The 23,158-nt window shown below is 44.9% G+C and overlaps 1 annotated feature.

The window, feature by feature from the left end:
- Nucleotides 10,978-11,583: an enhancer, noted in NCBI's record as "NANOG-H3K27ac-H3K4me1 hESC enhancer chr12:4243897-4244502 (GRCh37/hg19 assembly coordinates)". NCBI's record gives its function as "activates a minimal SCP1, AML or CMV promoter by ChIP-STARR-seq in primed H9 embryonic stem cells {active_cell/tissue: H9 hESC(primed)}" and the evidence as "EXISTENCE:reporter gene assay evidence [ECO:0000049][PMID:30033119]".

Here is a 23,158-nt window from a genome sequence, read left to right as displayed (position 1 = left end):
TCACAGGCAGCACCTTCCACAGCCAGTGGTCATGTCCTGTGCTATGAGTTCTGCCACTCAGGTTGCAGAAAGCTGACCAAGGGATTGGCACCCAAGCCAGAAAGTAGTCTGACTCCTTCGAGGTGGCTTGGCAAAACACTCTGTTCCATAGGGGTCTTCCCCATGAGACAGTGACACGGTGACTCCATCGGACACTTTCTCTTGGAAAGTGTGAGTACAAGATGTACACTGAGAAGTGAGTCACTATCGCTTGGAGCTGTGCCCCGAGAAAGGATGAGCGATGGTGGTGGGTTTCTAGGCAGGCTGAACTGCAAAGTACTAACTTCAGGGGAACCACTAAGCACAGTTGCTGGGTCTCCTCCAGGGATAGTTTAGGGTCCTCATAAATCCTCATGTAACCCAAGACTCCCCCATTTCTTCAGCCTTCAGGGAGCATGCTTTGTTTTCGTGTCCTAGTAACATCAACTGGCATTCCCTATCCCCTGTAGCTCTAGGGACCCCCAGCGTTTCCAAGGAGCACCCAGGAATGCTCACACATTATGGTGGTCTTGATACCTCTGCCAGCTGCCTTATGCTCCTCAGCTCATATCTTGCTGTGGTAAAGCAAGAAAAGGTAAGGAATTGAGGAGGTGTGCAAGGGGGTGATCACAATGACTGGCCATGAAATTGAAGGTGGGTAGTAAGAAGGGGAGAGGGAGTGAGGCCAGTGAAGAAGAGATAATATCAATGGATGGCAGGATCTGGTGGGGTCCAAGGCTGAGTGGAATTGAGGTTCTAGAGGGGTCAGCTGGAAAGGCAGGAGGTGGGATTAAAGAGTGGCATGCCTGGCCAGGTGAGGTGGCTCACGCCTGTAATCCCAGTACTTTGGGAGGCTAGTGGATCACGAGGTCAGGAGTTCGAGACGAGCCTGACCAACATGGTGAAACCCTGTCTCTACTAAAAATGCAAAAAAATTAGCTGGGCATGGTGGCGGGCGCCTATAATCCCAGCTGCTCAGGAGGCTGAGGCAGGAGAATAGCTTGAACCCAGGAGGCAGGGGTTGCAGTGAGCTGAGATCGCACCACTGCACTCCAGCCTGGCGACAGAGCAAAACTCCGTCTAAAAAAAAAAAAAGAGCCGGAAATTGAGGTTACAGTGGGATTGAAATTATTGATAATAACAAGGTCTAGTGTGTGGACCATGGGGGAGGTGGATACAGTGTGGCAGGGGAAAAGAGGTGTCCCAAGAAGCGTGCTTACTGTATTTTAAAATCTCCAAGACAAAAGATAGGACTGGAGAGAGTGACAGTGGGCTAGGAGCTGAAATCATGGAGAAATGATGGAGCATGAGCCAGGCCAAGAAGAATTCACATATGCCTTAGGGATAACCGTCTCTTTTCTGAATTCTGATTTTCAGATAGATTGATAGGAAAGGCATGGACTTGCCCTGTGCTTATCTCCTGGAAGAAATCAGGTGACAACCTGATAGTTCACACTGATAGCCGCTTGCTGTGCTCTCACAGGTCTCTCCTTGAGGCAAGGTCTCTTTTGACTTTTGCAGGAGGAAAGAAGAAGTAAGGTGGTTAAATAGAAATTATCAGCATTCTTGCCCCTGCTCTACACTGTATCTGAATTCAGTGTATCCCATGGCAGACAAAACACTCCCATTTCCACCATGGAGCTTCGACCTTAGAATAAATATGTGTAAGGCAAGAAGAGCCTTAAGTAAAGAAGGCTGCTCTTTACTGATGCCAAGGTTTTGTTTGTTCCCTTGTTTGAGGCCCCAGACCATTTATACCCGGGATGTAGTAAGATGCAGGATGGGTGAGAGGTGCATTTTTTTCTGTAAAGTGAGAGGAGAACAATTGTGAGGCGGGACAGTAGGCAGATCTAGACAGAAATGAGCACTGTGGAAGCTGAAGTCAGGAAAGGGATGCCTTGAAGCTGCCCGGGCTGGCATATTTCTTGGGAAGTGTTTGAAGATCACTGGCCTATTTGGCACTGGTTTTCTGGGTCTCAGTTTTCCTTTCTATAAAATTAAGAGGTGCCACTCCATGATCCCTAAACTGCATTTCAGCTTTCAATATTTAATTCCACGCATTAGGCTGGGCTCCTGGCTAATGTGTGCATCTGCCGAGGTCATTCCTGTCTCCTAGGCAAGTGTGAACAGACTGGGCAATGCCCCCACTTCTCAGTGTGTTGTATCCCACCTGTCTCTTTCCCTAGTAGCAGGTCGTTTTTTTTGTTTTTTTGTTTTTCTCTCTGTCTCACGATATCACCAAGTGGCACTACCACGTCCTAGCCTAGTGATGTTGGGCAAGTTAACTTAACCTCTCAGAGCTTCAGGTAACAGTGTGCATTCAATAGGAATTCTGCTGCACAGACTCACTACAATATAGGATTTTAAAAAATGCTGAACTATTAAAAGAGGCGGCTTTTGGAGGATGAGATTCTTGAAACTATGTCTTCCATTTCTGTGCTGTTTGAGTTTTTGCTGTGAGCATGTACCTTGCTTTCACAGTAAAATGTGTATTTTAAATGTTATGATTTTGTGTTTTTGACTTAAATGATGCCCACTCAGTATTGCATTATGCTTAATATGCAGCTCGGAGGCTGTGGTCATTACACATGTCTTTGATAACTTTTTATTTATTTTATTTTATTATTATTATTTGAGATGGAGTCTTGCTCTGTCACCCGGGCTGGAGTGCAATGGCGCTATCTCGGTTCACTGCAACCTCCACCTGCCAGTTCAAGCAATTCTCCTGCCTCAGCCTCCCGAATAGCTGGGATTACAGGTGCCTGCCACCACGCCTGACTAATTTTTTGTATTTTTAGTAGAGACGGGGTTTCACCACGTTGGCCAGGCTGGTCTCGAACTCCTGACCTCAGGTGATCCTCCCGCCTTGGCCTCCCAAAGTGCTGAGATTACAGATGTGAGACGCTGCGCCCAGCCGTCTTTGATCCATTTTTTAAATGAAAGAACTGGTTCTTATTTAATAAATAGGGTGAGGATATGAATAGGAGTCAGGGTTGATAAGAAGGCTGGGGTGTTCGCTGTTCTCGAAGGATGTGCCTCCTCTGCAGTACGCACGGTTTTGACTTCCGCCTGGGCAGTGGGAGGGGAGGAACAGAGTCCTTGAGGTGGTGCCAAGGGTGGGGCTCAGGCACGACCGTCAGTGGGGTTCAGGGCTTGGTCTGGGAAGGGCGAGGCAGGAGCAAGCCCTACAAGACAGGAGTGGCTTAGCTGCACTCAGCGCTCGAGGGAAGGAAGCAGCGGGAAGTGGGTGGTTTCAAGTTTTACTTTCAGTTTTCACTCAAAGTCATTTCAGGATGAAACCCATTTAACGGTCAGATCTCTCAGCCAGATTTCTCAGCAAACCTGTGCTCCACCCCACCCAGGTCCTCCAGGTGGAGCTTGCGGGCGGGCGGGGGAAGGTGAGCAGCAGGAATAGAACGTTCTGCAGTGCCTGGCCTGGACCTGGGAGCTGTCCGTCATCCGCATATCTGCAAATTGTCACACCTGGGCTGGGATCAGCTCTACTGCTAGATTCGGGTGAATATGGGCAAGACATTGCACCTCTCTACTCCAGAAATGTGGTCCGCGCTCTTCCAGGTGTCCCCTCAAGTTATTTTCATGGTCTTTACTGTGACCCAAAGGCAATGTTTCTGAAATGTTGACCTGCAGATCCCCTCCCAGAATCCCTTGAGGTGATTGTCCAAATGCAGACTCCTAGGTCACCCCCTGACCCATTGGACCAGTTTCCAGGAGTGGAGTTGAGCATCTTGCTTTTTGATAAACTCTCACGTACTTCAAAGGCTGAGATCCTCTGTCCTAGGGGGTAGAAATTTTACCTTGGTATGTTATACTAATAAGCAACCTGAGCTCAATGGTGGAGCAGGTGCTCCCACCTTCATCCCAGCACTTTGGGAGGCTGAGGCAGGAGGATTGCTTGAGCCCAGGAGTTTGAGACCAACCTGAGCAGCATGGCAAAACCTCGTCTCTAGAAAATACAAAAAAATTAGCCCAGTGTGGTGATGTGGGCCCATAGTTCCAGCTACTTAGGAGGCTGAGGTGGGAGGATCACCTGAGCCCAGGGAGGTTGAGGCTGCAGTGAGCTGTGATCACATCACTGTACTACAGCCTGGGTGACAGAGTGAGACCCCATCTCAAAAGGAAAAGAAAAACCTGAGCTCAAGACACAAACTACACTGCTCAGGATCTGCCAAAGAACCAATCGTAGAGACTTGATTCAAACCCAGAGCTAGGGTGATGGGTGTCCCACTTTGCCTGGGAAAATTCTGGTTTATGCCTGTTGGCATACCTCATTAACAGTAGCCATTTTCCCCACTTGCAAAAGCATCCTGGATTGGATAATACATTTTATGTCTTCCCTATTCAGAGCCCCTAGCCATGACTATACCATACTACTGCCCCTTCAAAAAGGTCAGCTAATGTGGTTCTGGGAACACACAGGATAAAGGGGGCATAACCTGGCTGGGGAGGTAGGTCAGGGGAGACACCTTAGCTATGTATGATTCTCAAATCCCCTCTCTGCCTTTAGGACAGCATTATAGGCAATGGGTACTCTCAAGAAGGACACTGATGAGTAACTGATTTCCATCTCCACTGAAAGCTGCAACCATAGCAGCAATTATGATAATATCTAACACTTACGTAGTGCTCACTATGTGCCAAGCACCATTCTAAGCACTTTGCATATGTCATGGAGATGAGCACAGACCCTCAACAGCAGCCAGAGGAATTGAGCTGGACAGCAAGAACTCTTGCGTGGGAAACTTGTGATGACAATGCACTATTGACCGAAGGCCCAGGAGTCCAGACAGCCAGCCAAGTCACAGGGCAATTTCGGATGTAGCCTTTGTAAACTGTGACCTTTCTGGATGATCTGGAAAAAGTCAACACCAGGATCCTGAGCCTAATATGCAGTGAAAAGGAGCCCGGTTTTCCTTCTCCAGGGACCTTTAAGAACAGAGCTGCCTGCACATCTTGACTAATTTACATCCAGCCCCACCAGGAAGCAGGAGGATGGAGATGACCTCTGAGGTCCCTTTGAGCCTAAGGGGTCTGTGATCATTACAACCACATGTCAAGACCCGGGAGACATTCCCGTTTCCTGCTCTTTCACCTGGGGACCCAGGCTGTGGGGCCCCTTTTGCCTGTGTATTTAGTGGGTCATGACCTTTTCCCTGGGCCTCCAGGTCTCCTCTTTAGCATTCACTCCCACCCACCCACAGGCCCCTGAGCTCTTTCTTTTCTGGGGTCTCCCCTGAGGAGTTTTGGGTAGATGCAGAAAGTAAGCCCTTGTCTTCTCTCTACTTCACCTCTAACACACATCTGGACTTTCCCAGCCATGCCTGGGGCTTTTGCGGCAACCAAACCATTTTAGGGACCTGGAGCAGAACCCGTTCTCCCTAAAAAAGAGTTAAGGCAGCCTCCAAACCTGTCACCTGGAAACATGCGTCCCCTTCAGGGCAGCAGAGACGGTAGTCATGATGGCGGAGGGTGTTGCCCAAACTGGCCAGAGGCGCTGCCCCAGCCAAAGGCAGAGATTCCCCAGTGTGCTTTTTAACCCAGGAGGCTAGTGAAGGGAGTCCCTGGAAGACACTACCCCCACCCCCACATTTCTTATTTAGATCATCCTACATCAGGCAGCTGGAGGGAAGGCACTGGCTGAGGGCCCAGCTGCTTGGCTGGAGCAAAACTGACACTTTTCTTTTTCCCCTCTAGTTGGAGAGAGAGGGGGAGAAAGAGAAGAGAGAAGCGAGGAGAGGACAAGGAACAGAGTGAAAGGAGAGAGGAAAGGAAAACAGTGTGGAAAGGAAAGGATGAAGACGAGAAAAGTGGGAGAACAGGAGAAAGGGGAGAGTGATGCTGCCAGATCCACCAGCATCAACTTAAGGAAACAGATTTTAGGGTAGGGGTTTCATCATGGGCCTATAGGAGATCAAGGGGTGGGGGCAGGGTTGAGGGTGGGGAGGAAGTTACAGTGAACTGTGCTTAGCACAGTTGACTCTTACAGTAGGACCTCAACCCCTCAAAACCCAGCTCTTTGGGGGACTCTAGACAGTCTCTGCGAGGGGGTTCATTGGGTAAAGAGAGAAAGAAAGTGTTACAGCAACCCACAGGCACTGTGCATTCAATTTAGTTCATCCTTTTAAAAGTTACTTATTTATTCTTATAGACAGGGTCTCCCTTTGTGGCCCAAGCTGTAGTGCAGTGGTACCATCATAGCTCACTGCCTCCTTGACTTCTTCAGCTCAGAAGATCCTCCCAGCTCAGCCTCCAAGTAGCTGGGGCCACAGGCATGTGCCATCATGCCTAGCTAATTAAAAAATTTTTTTTTCTTTTTGTAGCGACAGGGTCTCACCATCTTGCCCAGGTTGGTCTTGAACCCCTGGGCTCAAGCAATCCTCCCGCCTTGACCTCCTAAAGTTCTAGGACTACAGGCATGAGCCCCCATGCTCAGCCTAGCTTATACTATTTATGCACCTACTTTTTATATGCCAAGCTCCATAGTAGGTGCTGGGCACATCACAGGTGAATGAGATAAAATCTCTGGCAACATTCTGGGGAGGATGTGCAGTGTGTTCAGTAGGCTGTGTGTGTGTGCATATGTGTGATGGGCTGTGGGCACTGAGACTCCTTCCAGAAGGATAAGAAAATACATATTCGTTTTTATGTATGAGTTAGGGGATCTAAGAGCTGGAAGATCCTTAGAAAGCCAGCTTGTAGGATGGTCCCTAAAAAACATCCAGATGAAAGATTCCTTCTTATATGCTAGCAGATGCCTCAGAGAGGGCAGTACTCCAGCTGATCCCAGGCACAGGGTAGGAGACGAGACATTGGCTCTACTGGTCAGATCAGGAAACCCAAGTAGGAGGAGGCTTAAGAGGCCATCTCCTTCCATCCTCTCTCCAAGGCAGTAATCTCCTACTCAGCTGAAGGCATGCAATATTTGCATGCCACCCCCGGGGCAAGGAAGCTAGCTACCTACAAAAACCCCTCGCTGCAATGGTAAATGCTAATATCCAGAATCTACAAAGAACTTAAACAAATTTACAAGAAAAAATCAAACAACTCCATCAAAAAGTGGGTGAAGGATATGAACAGACACTTTTCAAAAGAAGACATTTATGCAGCCAACAGACACAGGAAAAAATGCTCATCATCACTGGCCATCAGAGAAATGCAAATCAAAACCACAGTGAGATACCATCTCACACCAGTTAGAATGGCAATCATTAAAAAGTCAGGAAACAACAGGTGCTGGAGAGGATGTGGAGAAATAGGAATAATTTTACACTGTTGGTGGGACTGTAAACTAGTTCAACCATTGTGGAAGTCAGTGTGGCAATTCCTCAAGGATCTAGAACTAGAAATACCATTTGACCCAGCCATCCCATTACTGGATATATACCCAAAGGATTATAAATCATGCTGCTATAAAGACACATGCACACATATGTTTATTGCAGCACTATTCACAATAGCAAAGACTTGGAAGCAACCCAAATGTCCAACAATGATAGACTGGATTAAGAAAATGTGGCACATATACACCATGGAATACTATGCAGCCATGAAAAAGGATGAGTTCATGTCCTTTGTAGGGACATGGAAGAAGCTGGAAACCATCATTCTGAGCAAACTATCGCAAGGACAGAAAACCAAACACCACGTGTTTTCACTCATAGATGGGAATTCAATAATGAGAACACTTGGACACAGGGTGGGGAACATCACACACCAGGGCCTGCCATGGGGTGGGGGAACGGGGGAGGGATAGCATTAGGAGATATACCTAATGTAAATGACGAGTTAATGGGTGTAGCAAAGCAACATGGCACATGTATACATATGTAACAAACCTGCACGTTGTGCACATGTACCCTAGAACTTAAAGTATAATTAAAAAAAAAAAAAGGCTGTGGATATTGTTTCCCAAAGTGTGTTCCTCAGGGTATTTAGTTCCTGGTGTTGTTAATAGGCATTCCTTAGGATGGGGAAAAAAGAGTGCCCTGGAAAAATAACATTGGGTTAAATAAAGTTTTTTTCCTTATTATTATTATTTTTTTGGTCGTGGGAGGAGTTTCCTATTTTGGGTATTTTTTTGTTTACTTTTGGTTTTGTCTGCAGGATTTCTCAGAGCTGTTAATATGTCCATTCCTAAGACTTGGATAGTATGAGGTAACTCTGAAACTTGCTTTACCTTATAGCTTTTTTTTTTTTTTTTTTTGAGATAGGGTCTCACTCTGTCACCCAGGCTGGAGCACAGTGATGTGATCACAGCTCACTGCAGCCTCGACTTCCCGTTCTCAAGCAATCCACCTGCCTCAGCCTTCTGAGTAGCTGGGACCACAGGCTAATTTTTTAATTTTTTTTGGTAGAGATGGGGTCCCACTACGTTGCTCAAGCTGGTCTTGAACTGGACTCAAGCAATCCTCCTGCCTCAGCCTCCAAAAGTGCTGGGATTACAGGTGTGAGCCCCTGCGCCTGGCCTCATCAAACTTTTTGAGTTAACAGTATATCGCGCAACTTACTCTGGGATATTCTGCTCCAGTGATGGAAAGAACTTTCCTATGTTGAAGTGAAGAAAAGACTGTGGGTGGGGGACTGGGCGATATGCCCTTCCTGGGAGGTCTGAGCCTCTAGTCTGCCACCCACCTGTTCCTAAAAGCTCTTTGAAAACCCTTCAACTGGATTAAGGCTTTCATTAACTTGCCTTTGTTCTCAGTGATTTGACCTTGGGTGAACTGCTCCATTTCTTTATGGCCCTTCCATTTTCTCCTCATTGAACTGGGATAATGGTCCCCAATGCAGTCCTGTCTTCCCGGGGCCTTTGGAGTCCCCAAAGTGTTTCTGTATGATATTTCCCTGAATTGTTCTGTATTATTTCCTCTGCAGCTTCTGTCTCCCCAGCTGGGTTGAAAGCACCTTGAGGGCAGTGGCCCTTCTTCGGATAGTGGTTCCAGGCTCCCCTAACACGGTGATAAGATGTAAACATCTTGGGGGAACCTCAAGTCTGGGAACTGGATTTGCTTCCCCACTCTGCCACTTAATGGTCACGTGACAAATCACTCAAGCTCCTGGAGGCTTATTTCCTTCTGCTTTAAAACAGTGGGGCTAACTGAGCAGAGGGAAAGTGATTTATAAACTCAGTTTCCATAGAATCCTAGTTATTTTTATTAGTCATTTATCCGACACATGCTAATTGTATTCCAGGCATTGTGGGAGATGTTGCTTCTGGGTCATCCACCTCATCTCTCCTTGTCTCTATTCGCCCATAGGGTGATGATCCTGGAAAATCATTCTTATAACGTCTGTGAGAAGCTCAGCACTCTGAAGAGATACACAGAGACTGTTCACATGAAGGAGTAACGGGTGACATCACATCAGCTCCGGTCCCCCAACCTTCCCTTCCTCTTAGGGGCAGCCATATACACAACCAAAAGCAAGCACACGGGACAAACTACTTTTTATTCTAGAAAGAGAAAAAGGGATTTCTGAACTCAGGTAAACTGGAAGTGAGGGATGTTGGGGGGAAGGGAAGGATCGAGGCAGAAAGGAGGGCCCAGGGATGAATGGAATTGCAGGGCCCAGCGGCAGAGCAGACAGACCCCCAGCACACATGTCAAACCCAAACAAGGGAATGTTTTGAGGCTGTGCGTCCGGCATGCCTCCGTCCCAGCCCCCTTAAGGACCACCCTGGGAAGTTCTCTAGAAAACCCATCCATCACAGACAACAGTCTGCTTTCTTTCCCCGCTGGTTCAACATCCATAGCACAAAAATGTGCTTCACTAATGGAAACCTTGTGCTGGGTTCTTGGAGCATTATGGCAGTGAGCGGCAGAAGAGGAAGTGAGTGTGTTTGAAAGAACACACACACACACCACGCACACACACACACACACGCATACACAGAAACAGGCCCAAGCCCCCTGTCCACAAATTCATGCACACAACCATTCACATAACTGTGGATACACAGAGGTGAACAGGGAACGCCTCACGACACTGGGACTGTGACAGCAACAACAGCTGATGAAGTCATTGCCCTCCAGCTCCCCCATCACCAAGAAGGGATGGGCGCCTCCCGCTTCTGTGTTTCTCAATGATTCAGTGTGTCTGGCTGGGGTTTTCACTGGCTCTTTCATACATTGTTGGAGAAAAAAAGAAAGAAAGAAGGAAAAAGATCAAATTTCAGTTCCCCTCAATTGCTCTGGGTTTGTGCAACCAAGTGTCATTGTGAGACTTCTGCCGCCCACGTCCTCAAAGGGCCCAGCACGTGGCTCAGTCTGCACCTAGACCGGGGCAATTAGTAGTTCCTTTTTCCTGTCATGAAGGGCAGCCCAAACATCAAAGGTCCCCATGTTGTTACCCTATCAACTGGTTTAGACCACGAGGCTGACTGAAGGCAGAGGCAACCAAGAAGCACTTTTGTATGTGAATAAAAAACAAGTATGGAATGTGGGCCGGGCAGGTGGCTCACGCCTGTAATCCCAGCGCTTTGGGAGGCCGAGGCAGGTAGATCACGAGGTCAGGAGATCGAGACTATCCTGGCTAACGTGGTGAAACCCCATCTCTACTAAAAATACAAAAAAATTAGCAGGGCGTGGTGGTGGGCACCCGTAGCCACAGCTACTCGGGAGGCTGAGGCAGGAGAATGGCGTGAACCTGGGAGGAGGAGCTTGCAGTGAGCCGAGATCGCGCCACTGTACTCCAGCCTGGGCGACAGAGCAAGACTCTCTCTCAAAAACAAAACAAAACAAAACAAATAAAACAAGTATGGAATGTGGAAAGAGCAGAGCCCTGGCCTAAACCTCAGGAGAACTAAGTTCTAGCCCTGGAGGCGCTAGGAACTGGCTGTGTGACCTTAGTCAGGTTACCCAGCCTCTCTGATTCTTAGAGCTGTCTGCTGTAAAATGAACAGGGCAGATAATGACAGTCTCCGAGGCCCTCCATTTCTGACCTTCTGTGATGAGAATGTTGTTCACTGGTTGCTATCTACATGAATGAAGATTTGCGGGGCATGGATAATACAAAACAATGGTGAGCTAACTTTAATGTTTTCTATTTTACTTTGTTTGCCTTTGGAATGTAACCAGAGCACACATTCAGACACTCACAAACTTCCTTCCTTCCCTGCCCCCTTTCCCTGCTCCTCTGTTTGGCCCTCCTGGCCAGGGGTGGGGGTGGAAGAATGTGAGGTTGGCTGGAAAGGCCGAGAGGATGCAGGAAGGTTTCTGGTTGGGGGCACGGAGGTTGTGGGGGAGGGGTGCTCCAGGGACCTGAGAATCGATTAGCTATAAGATCATTTTAATCCCTTCCGCTATCCAGAAAGGTGGGAGATTGTGAATAGCACATTCCTCACGCGAAATACCGTATATCCTTGCCTATGAGAAGCCCCGGGAAAAATAGTAGTGTGTTTAAATGATGAGCCTCAAGGAAAATCATCAGAGAAGTCCTCCTTCTTGTCAATTGTATATTTCAGTTTTCCTTTCCAGCCAAGATAGGGCCCCTGCAAAATCACGATTCCTAGGGCAGTCGTCATGCTTGTGGGGGTGGAGACTGGGAAGAGAGACAGGACCTTCATGGGGAAATAAATGTGCTATTTTTCTATTTTTACTCCACCTTGGCTTGGAAAATAGGATACTTTTCTTTTGCTGCAGCATCTCATATGTGAGCATATACGGTAATGGAGGCATTCCAGAGTCCAGCTGATAGCCAATCAGGAATTGGGGCCTTTCTGCATTTTTCCCTTTAAGAAAAAGTTTTGGGTCCTCTCAGGAGCAGCAAATCAACTGCAGTCTGCAGAGTTACCATCCCCTCCCCCACCTCCCACCCACCATCATGGGGACGGGGCGTTCGTGTTAGTTAGGTCAACCTGGGTCCTCTTCCTAGGGACAGCCCCGTGAAACACAAAGTCTTAGGTTTTGAAAGTAGGGTGCTGGGGATGGGAGAGAGAGGCTGGCAGGGGCTGGTGGCTGACCAGCTGGGGCCATTGCTTGGGGTGAGGGTGGTTGGAGGGAGAAAGAAGGAAGAGAGAGAACTCCGGGATGACATGCAGCTATGGATGCTCGCGTGGGTGTGCATATACGTGTGTGTGCGTGCGTGTGTCTCCCCACAGGACTGGACCAGTAGCAGGCTGGTGGAAAGCATGAGCAGCTCCATTCAGGAAGGGGAAGCAGCAGCTGTTTCCCCAGGAGACAGTGTCTGGGAGCAGCTGCAAGCTGGGAAGAGCCTGATGGCAAGGGAGCTGCCGACTGTAGGATAGACAAGGAGAGCCAGGCTGGGTGCTACCATCTGGCTGGGCTGTGGGGCTCTAGCTTGTAGCTGGCCAGCCTCAGCTTTCTCTCCTGCTTGTGAAACCTGGGCCTTAACTCTCCTGTCCTTCCCTCCTCCTTAGCCTTGACTGGACTCTGCCACTCTGCCTGCTCTATCACTATGGCCTCCGCTCAGCTTCCAGGCTTGCTTCTCGTTTCTCTCTTTAACGTTTCTAATGTTGGTGACTCGCCACTTCCAGTTGCCCTCCTGTTTCTTCTTCACTTCTCCTTCATTTCTTAGTTCTCCTTTCGTTCAGGGCTAGGCAGACCTGAAAGGCAGTGGGAAAATCGAACAGCACACTGGAAAGAGGCCATCTGTCCCCTGTCCTCTGGGCATACTCCTTGGTCTGAGTACTGGATATACTCAGACTCTTCCCTTAATACTTCCTTTAAATGGTGGACTCTTATCCAGATGAGGAAACTGAGATTACAGGAGGTAAAATAAAGTAGCTCCCAACTCAAGCACTCACCAAACATTCACCAAGCATCTGGCAAGTGTTGGAATCAGAGCTTGTGAAGGTAAGTGTGCTCTGTCCCTAATCTATGCTACCTCCAGAACTCATGCCCTCAGTGTGATCCCCTACTCATCAGTAACATTATTTAGGAACTTCTTAGAAATGCAGACTCTCAGGCCCCACCTCAGCCGGCTGAATCAGAGACACTGGGAGTGGTGGTGCCCGGAGATCTGCATTCCTCCCACCCCTGCCCACAGGTGATTCCCATGCTCACTAACGTTTGAAAGCATGGCCCTAGACAAGTGACCTCACTGGGCCTTCCTTGCTGGAGGACAGTCCTCTGGGCCACGTAAGCTTGAGCTCCATTTTCCAGCTCCAAGGTTCCTGTTTCAAGGATGTCACCACAGAAGGCAGTGGAGTATTTACCCGCAGCAGGCCTGGGTGTAACTCCCCTTTTCAGGGGGAGTGACCTGGGCCCTTATGACCCTTTGCTTGGCCTTCTGAGAATAAGGGTGATCAATCGTGGCTCATTTTACTCCCTGTTCCTTCTTTCACTTGATCATTTTCAGCATTTCCTTTTTTTTCCCCCTTTGGCAAAAGTTTTCAGAGTTTTTCTCAGACATGTGGTTTGAAGAATTTCAAGCCTAGAAGACACAGCGCAAGGAAGAGAGTTTCTATGCTCTGAACACAGGATAACAGATAATACAGCAGGAGAGACTTGGGTTAGATCATCAGTTCAGTAGTAGAACTGGGAACCCCGCGTCAGGGAGACCCTCTCCGGTCCAGGGGTTTGTATGACGTGGAGGCACAGACAATTTGGTGATGGGCCTTTGTGGGCAAACAGTCCAGGGATGAGGCTGGGGCTTTAGGCGACTTACATGTTTTCATTTTGATTCTTCTCACTAATAGTAGGATGTAGGCAAGTCTCTTACCTTTTCTGTAATTCAGCTTCTCATTTTTAACACAGACGTAGAAGCATCTTTCGTAGGACTTCCATTTGTTTTCATTCGTTTTTTTTAAACTTTTCATTTTGAAGTGATTAGCAGACAATTTTCCATGGGTCTCTCATGTTTCTGCGTGTCTTGTGAAGAAAGGCACAGACAGCCTTTCATTCTGGACTTTTTAAGGATTTTTACATAGTGAACAGCCTTAGATAATAGAAAATATTATCCCTCAATTTAGATGTATATACCCAGCAAAGCAATCTTTCAAGAATGAGGATAAGGTTAAGATATTTTCAACAAACAAAAGCTAGCTGAGTTTACTACTGGATCCTCAGTAAAGGAATTTCCAGATGGGTATATTTCAGGAAGAAAAAATGATTCCAGAAGGAAGAATTGAGATGCAAGAAGGAGAGGTGACAGAGAAAAAGACCAACACATGAGTAAATCTAGACAAAGTGGTAATAATAATGAATAACTCAGGGGAGTTAAGAAACAGAACTGAAATAGATTTAAGAAGCATAAAATTTGGAGTGGGGTACAAATATGGATGAAACTTGCTAAGGTCCTTCCATTCGTGAGATGAGTAAAAATACTAATTTTAGGTTTTAAGTTAAATACTCACTTAAATAATAGAAATAGAGTGTATAACCTCCAAAACAGTAGAAGGAAAACTAGAATAAAAATGTTTTAAACAAACAAACAAAAGCAAAAAGGAAGGGGAAGAAACAAAGAACAATATGGTAGAAATAACTTGTTATGGCAGTAACCACTATAAATGTAAATGGACAAAACTTCTATTTATAAGAATGTAGTAATTATTGATAAAAGTCTTCTGTGAAAGGGCAAATATGGATAGACTAGATCTGAAAATCTAATTTTTCCTGTTCTCTAGAGTCATACACTAAAACATAAAGACACTGAAATTTTGAAAACAAAAATGGCCAGGTGCAGTGGCCTATAACCCCAGCACTTTGGGAGGCCAAGGCAGGAGGATTGCTTGCATCCAGGAGTTCAAGACCAGTTGGGCAACATAGCAAAACCTGGTCTCTACAACAAATAAAAAATTAGGTCGGCATGGTGGTCAGCACCTACAGTCCCAGCTACTCGGGAGGCTCAGGTGGGAGGGTCACTTGAGACAGGTAGGTCGAGCTGCAGTAAGCTGTGACCACACCATGGCACTCAGCCTGGGCAACAGAGAGAGAACTTGTTTCAGAAAAAAGAAAAAGAAAGAAAGTAAAATACAGAAAAAGAGATATCTGATAAAGAGTAATAAAACAGGAAGCTAAATAATCATATTAATATCAGACAAATTTCACTGTAAGGCAAATAGCCTTATTAGACATAAAGAGAGATACTACCGAATAGTAAAAAGTTCATATCACCAGAAGAATATAATAGTATTAAACTGGTATGTAATCAGTAACATAGCTTCAAAATATATAAAACAAAATTGCAAGAACCATGAGGAAAAACTGACAAATCTACATCATAGTGAGAGGTTTTAATATCCTCTCTCATTATTTGATAGATCAAGCAACAGAAAAATCAGAGATTTTAGAAGATCTGAACATGCAGTTAATAAGCTTGATCTAATGGATGTATATTGAATTTTGTACCCAAGAAATAAAAAAGACACATTCTTTTCAAGTACATTTGGAACATTTCAGAATCGTCTATATAGTATGCCATAAAGCAAGTCTCAACAAATTTCAGCCAGTATCTTACAGTTTACATACTTTGACTCCAAAGAATTTAAGAAATGAATAACAAAAAGAGGACAAAAAAAAAAATCCTGTGTTTGGAAATTTAAAGACACACTTCTAAATAACTTCAGGGTCAAAAAAGAAATCATAATGGAAATGAGGAAATACTTAATATTGATTGATAAAGATAATGTTTCACTTTTAAATTTAGGGAATAAAGTGTTTTGACATGGTTAGAGGAAAATATATAGCATGTATGCTAATATATTAGGAAAGAAGAATGTCTGAATAGCAGCAAGGTAAACATCCAAATTAAGAAATTAGAATAAGCAAAAGAATAATCTTTTTAAAAATAGAAGGGATGAATTAATAAAGAGGAGATTTACTGAAATAGGAGCAAAAAATAAAATAGAATTAACAAAGCTGAAAAATGCTTTTTTAAAAATATGCATGCAATTGAAAACTGCCAGCAAAGGTAACTAAGAGATCAAGAGAAACGGCAAAAAAATGGCAAGATTAGTAATGAGAAAGAGGATTTCACTACTTATCATGGGCTGAACTGTATCCTCTCAAAAGCTATGTAGAGTTCCTAACTCCCAATACCTGTGAATGTCATCTTATTAAAAAAACAGGGCGCGGAGGCTCACGCCTGTAATCCCAGCACTTTGGGAGGCCGAGGCGGACAGATCACTTGAAGTCCAGAGTTCGAGACCAGCCTGGACAATATGGTAAAACCCCATCTCTACTAAAAATACAAAAAAATTTAGCCAAGTGTGGCGGCATACACCTGTAGTCCCAGCTACTCAGGAGGCTGAGGCAGGAGAATCACTTGAACCTGGGAAGCAGAGGCTGCAGTGAGCTGAGATCACGTCACTGCACTCCAGCCTGGGCAACAGAGCGAGACTCCATCTAAAAAAACAAAAAAACAAAACAAAACAAAACAAAAAACAGGGTCTTTGCAGCTGTCATCAAGCTAAGATGAGGTCAATAAGGTGAGCTCTAATCCCTTATAACTGATGTCCTTGTAAGAAGAGGAGAAGAGGCTGACGCAGACACAGGGAGAATACCATGTGAAGATAAAGTGAATATTGGAGTGATGGATTCACAAGCCAAGGAATGCCAAAGACCCCAGCCATCAGCAGAACTGGGAGAGAGGCATGGAACAGAGCACAGCGCTCAGAGGGAACCAACTCTTTCAACACCTTCATCTTGAATTCCTAGCTTCCAGAACTATGAGATAACACATTCTATTGTATTAAGCTGCCCAGTTTCTGGTACTTTGTTAAAGCAATCCTAGGAAATTAATACACTACAGATGCAATGGGAATTAAAATACAATGAGAAAATAATATGACATTTATTGCCAATAAATTTGAAAATTAAAAAAGGGACAAATGGCTAGTAAAATATTAATTGCCAAAAGGTTCAAGAGGAAGTAAAAATCCTGAATATAACTATTTAAAACCATTAAATTGAGGTAATGAACACTTAACAACCTCACTACAAAGAAAATATCAGGGCCGGAGGCCGGGCACGGTGGCTCATGCCTGTACTCCCAGCACTTTGGGAGGCCGAGGCGGGTGGATCACCTGAGGTTGGGAGTTCAAGAACAGCCTGACCAACATGGAGAAACTCCGTCTCTACTAAAAATACACAATTAGCCGGGCATGGTGGCACATGCCTGTAATCCCAGTTACTCAGGAAGCTGAGGCAGGAGAATCACTGGAATCCAGGAGGCGGAGGTTGTGGTGAGCCAAGATCGTGCCCTTGCACTCCAGCCTGGGCAGTAAGAGTGAAACTCCGTCTCAAACAAACAAACAAACAAAAAACAGAAAAGAAAATATCAATCCCAGATGATTTTATAGGCAAGATAGGTCCGACATTAAAGAAAAAGATAATTCCAATATTATTTAAATTCTTCTATAGAGTAGAAGAAAAGGAAACATTCCCCTAGTCATTTTTATGAGGCCAGCAGATGCTTGATACTAAAATTAGATATAGTTGTAGGAAAAAAAATCACAGAACCATTTCACTAACAAACATAGATGCAAAACTCCTTAACACGGTATTAACATATTAACACTAACCATGTATTTAAAAGATAATCAATGAAGACCAAGTTTAATTCATTCCACAAATGCAAAGCAGGTCAGCATCAGAAAATTTCTAAATGTAGTTCATCACTTGATCATTCCTTAAAAGGAGAAAAGCCATATGATCATCTCAATAGAGGAAGAAAGTGTTTAATAACATTCAATATTTCTTTATGATAACCATTCTTGACCAACGAGGAATCAAAGGTGATTTAACCTGTTATGAGTTTTACGTGTGTGGATGCATGCATGCATGTGCACATGCTCACAGACACACACACACACATACACACACACATGCGGTTGTAGTAACTACATATTCAACAGTAAAATATTTTAAAATTTCTCTTTGGGATCAATAGCCGGCCAAGGCTATTATTTTCATTGGTTCGTTCAATGTTGCTGGAAATTCTGGCCAGTACACTACGAAAGAAAAGGAAACGGAAAGAAATGGAAAGGAAAGAAAGAGATAACCTAAAGTATTTTTAGGTTAAATTTTAAGTTAAATTAGTAGGATGAGGCTGGGCATGGTAGTTCCTACCTGTAATCCCAGCACTTTGGGAGGCCAGGGTGGGTGGACTGCCTGAGCTCAGGAGTTCGAGATCAGCCTGGGCAACATAACGATATCTCATCTCTACAAATAATACAAAAATTAGCCAGGTGCAATGGTGTGTACCTGCAGTCCCAGCTACTTTCAGGGCTGAGGTGGGAGGATTGCTTGAGCCCAGGATGTTGAGGCTGCAGTGAGCCGAGATCCTGCCACTGCACTCCAGCCTGGGTAACAGAGTGAGACCCTGTCTCAAAAAACAAAAAAATTACTAAGATGAATAGGAAAGTTTATCAAAGCTGTCAGATAAAAGATCACAATACAAAAGTTAATTTTTATGCACCACCAGGGAATTCACTTTAAAAAAAGGATAACATGAGGGTAACAAAAAGTAAGATACCAAGGAATATTTTACAGATGTGCCAGTCTTTTATGAGGAAAAATACAAAATGTTCTCAAACCTCATTTGGAATGACTACATAAAATGAAGAGATAAGCCATGGCTTGGGTAGGAAGACTCACTCATGAACAACTGCAAATTCTTCTGATTTTGATTTTTTTTTAGGTTCAGTTAAATTGTAACAAAAATACCAGCAGTTGGGTTGTTTTTTGGTTTTGGTACCATGTGGCAGTCTGATTTCAAAATTTAATTGAAGCACAAAAGACCAGGAATAGCTGAGAAACTCCTAAAGAAGTCAAGGTGAGGAGATTATCCTACTCAACATCAAGACTTATTCAAAAGCTATGGTAGTTAAGACAGTTGGTAATGATAAAAGAACAAACAGATCAATGGGACAAGATACAGTTCAGAAACCAATTCATACATATTTAGAAACTTGATATAATATAATACAGAATGGCCACTGAAGATCAGTGGGGAAAATATAGATTATTCGATACATGGTGCTGGGACAGCTGGTTTTCCATGTGAAATTGCATCTATACCTCACACAGTATATGTAATTTTTAAAAACTTAAGATGAATTAAAATTTAAATATAAAAGTCCAAACTTTAGACCTTTTAGCAGAAAACGCTGGCAAGGATCTTTATGAATTTAAGATATGGCAGGATTTTATAAACAGAGCACAATATGTAAAATAACAGAAGAGAATGGATTGATAATTTTGATCATGTTAAAATGAAGAACTTCTGGTCATCAAGTCGCCATTAAAGGAACAAAAAGGTACAGACTGAGAAATGTATTGGTATTCAGCATGTATAAAGAATTCATCTAATCAGTAAGAAAAACACAACTTAATAGAAAAGTGAGCAAAAGACACAAACAGGCGTTTTACATAAAAGGAAAGCTGAGTGGCCAAAGAGTCTGAGAAAGGATGTTTAACCTCTCTAATATCCAGGGATGTGCAAACTGAAACCACAAAGTGTGATTTTTAAGTTAAAAAGTCTACCAGCACCAAGCGTAGATAACGAGGAACACTGAAAACTTTTGTGCGCTGCTGCCGGGTGTGAAGATTGGTATGAGACTCTGGAAAATGGTTTGGTCTTCTCTAGCGCAGATGAAGGTTCTTGGCATATGAATCTTGCTACCTGGGGACCCAGTAACTCCATACCTAGGTTCAAACCCTGGAGAAACTTTGAACATGTACACGATTTTTTTCTTTTTTTGAGATGGAGTCTCGCTCTGTCCCCCAGGCTGGAGTGCAGTGGCACGATCTCGGCTCACTGCAAGCTCTGCCTCCCGGGTTCACGCCATTCTCCTGCCTCAGCCTCCCGAGTAGCTGGGACTACAGGCACCCACCACCATGCCTGGCTAATTTTTTCGTATTTTTAGTAGAGATGGGGTTTCACCGTATTAGCCAGGATGGTCTTGATCTCCTGACCTCGTGATCTGCCCGCCTCGGCCTCCCAAAGTGCTGGGATTACAGGTGTGAGCCACCGCGCCCGGCCAAACGTGTACGCTATTATTAAACATGTACACAAATGTTCACACAGCATAGTGTGGGACAGCTGAAACCTATAAGCAATCTACGTGTCAACCAACAGTAGAATGATACAAAATTATGGTGTACAAACACAAAGGAACACTATACAATTATGAAAATGAAGAGATTGGAGGTATGCATCAACTGGATAGACGGATAGATTTATCACCAATGCAGATAGATCTCAAAATTAATGTTGTGAAAAAAGTAAACGAAGGATATGTAAAGTATGATGCCACTTATATAAACGTCAAAAAATGAACAGTATCCTAATTTCAAGGCTTACTAGAAAGCTACAACAATCAAGACATTGTAGTATTGGTCTATGGTGTAATAGAGACACAGATAAATGGAAAAGAATAGGGAATCCAGAAATCAATCACACATATGTGGTCAACTCACTTTTGACAAAAGTATCAAGGCAATTTAGTGAGAAAGTACAGACTTTTCAACAAACACGGTGCTGGAGCATTTAGACACCCAAATGAAAAAGAATAAACCTTGATTCAGACCTCACACCATATATAAAGAGTAACTCAAAATGGATCAGAGACCTAAATGTAAAACCTAAAACTATAAAACTGCTAACATAAACAGGGGAAAATCTTTGTGACTTTAGGCTATTCAAAGATGTCTTAGAGGACACTGAAAGCATTAACTGTAAAAGAAAAAAGGAATAAAATGGGCTTCATCAAAACTAAAAACTTCTACTCTTTGAAAGCTAAGGTTAGGTGACTAGAAAGACAAGTCACAGAATAAGAGAAAATATTTGCTATATATATATCTGATAAAGCACTGGTATCCAGAATATATAAAGAACATGCACAACACGATAATCAGAAAGTAAACAATCCAATAAAAAAGAGGCACAAAGATTCCAACAGAAACTTCCCAAGAGAAGAGATACAAATTACAAAAAACTGCATGAAAAGGTGTTCAACATCATTAGTCATTAGAATATGCAAATTAAAACATCTATTTATGATTTATTTATTTATTTAATTTTATTTTTTTTTTTGAGATGGAATTTTGTTCTTGTCACCCAGGTTGGAGTGCAATGGTGCAATCTCGGCTCCCTGCAGCCTCTGCCTCCCACGTTCAAGTGATTCTCATGCCTCAGACTCCCGAGTAGTTGGGATTACAGGCTCCTGCCACCACGCCCGGCTAATTTTTGTATTTTTAGTAGAGATGGGGTTTCAGCTTGTTGGTCAGGCTGGTCTCGGACTCCTGACCTCAGGCGATCTGCCCGCCTCGGCCTCCCAAAGTGCTGGGACTACAGGCATGAGCCACCGTGCCCGGCCAAAACTATTTTTATAAGTAGGTATTTCAGAAATATCTGAGAGTGAGGGAGTTCCGCAGGATTCTGAAGAGAGACACAGGTGGCCTCAATGGTTTGGTGGTGTCCTGTGTTTTAAGGTGGAAGCTGAATGGAAATCAGCTGTTAAAACAGGATGGTATTATTCGGGAGGAAGGGATGAAGCCCTAGCCCCGTCCTCCTGGCTTGGAGTCAGGGTCATCAGTCATCCACCCGCCTGGAAGCGCCTAGGGGGAAGTGAGGGTGACCGCAGGTGTGGAAGTTTGAGCAACAAAAGGAGGGACAGGCACTGTTCACTGTCCCCCGAACATCATTCTCCACTCCTCCTTGTGGAGCACTTGAGAATGTAGCTGGAGACAGAGGTAGCCCTTAGTGCTCTCCCCATCCTACCCTTGTATGAGAAGAAAAGAGGCCGGGCGCGGCGGCTCACGCCTGTAATCCCAGCACTTTGGGAGGCTGAGGCGGGCGGATCACGAGGTCAGGAGTCCGAGACCAGCCTGACCAACACGGTGAAACCCCGTCTCTACTAAAAATACAAAAATGAGCCGGGTGTGGTGGCGCATGCCTGTAATCCCAGCTACTCGGGAGGCTGAGGCAGAATTGCCTGAACCCGGGAGGCGGAGGTCGCAGTGAGCCGAGATCGCGCCACTGCACTCCAGCCTGGGCGACAGAGCGAGACGCCGTCTCAAAAGAAAAAAAAAAGTGAAGAAGAGATTACAAACTGGGTTCTTAGTCACAGAGGGGAGCTTCAGGCAGGGGAGCATTCTCGTCCCTCTCCCGCACCTCACCTCCCACACACGCTTTCTTACTTAAAGATACACTGGAGAGGAAAGTCCTTGAAGGCAGGGGCCGCATGAAGTCAAGGGAAAGAACACAGGCTTTAGAGTCAGAATAGGTGCGGAATCCAGGCTGGTTTATGAAGTTAAGCGCCTTTGGGCAAGTTAATTACCCCTTTGCAATCTCTATTTCCTTGCTTATAAAAGTGGGCATAGTAATACTTACCTAACAGTCAGGGCTTTGATGTATTCTGATGTGTTTTGAAATAAAGAGGTACAGTCTGACAGTGCCATAGAACGGGAAGGCTGGGAGCTTCCTGGGAAGACCAGCTCACTGTGGTGTGACTTAGGCCAGCCTGCAGCCCTCTGTCCTACTGTTCAAATGCTGGGTCCCAGCAGTGGCCCAGGGTGAATGGGACTGCTGGGGGGGATGCTGACTCACCCTACCAGCCAGCTGTGGACATCAGAATGGAACTGCTGAGGGGATAACACCCATTCTCTCCTTGAGGACCAAGTACTTGGGAAGCCAGCTTACAGTCACATGGCTGCTCGCTGAGTACAGAGTGAAAACACCGAGGTTAGTTGGAAAATTAAAATGCATAATCATATCAGGTGATGATAATTTGAGTGCCCATCTCCACAAAAAATACACAGGCACCTTTAGGACCAAGGTCCTCTTCCTCCAGGTCAGGGCTCTGGGTTTTCTCTAGGACTCTCCTTTTCTGTGTTTTCGTTACTGACCTACCTCTCCCTTAGGACTGACCATCTTTTCTGTAGACAGCCTTTCAATTAACTTCCAGGGGGGACTCGATGCCTCGAGAATCATTCTTTCTTGAGTGATTGCAGGCTTGGCTCTGATGCATTGTGTGTTCATTTCAGGGTTTCCAAGAGCAGTTTCCTTTCCTTCATTTCCAAATATCTGGGGCACAGTAGAGGGGAAAAGGGTGTATTTCAGTGTACAATGTATGCACCATCCACCCGTATGTACATCCATGGTATGTCTTTGAGAAATATTCTCTTTCTACGTATGTTAAGGCTTCATTCATCATGCAAGC

Source organism: Homo sapiens, chromosome 12 (assembly GCF_000001405.40).
Source record: "Homo sapiens chromosome 12, GRCh38.p14 Primary Assembly".
NCBI lineage: Eukaryota > Metazoa > Chordata > Mammalia > Primates > Hominidae > Homo > Homo sapiens.
The sequence above is the reverse complement of the archived record's forward strand: the minus strand, read 5'-3'. Positions and strand labels throughout refer to the sequence as shown.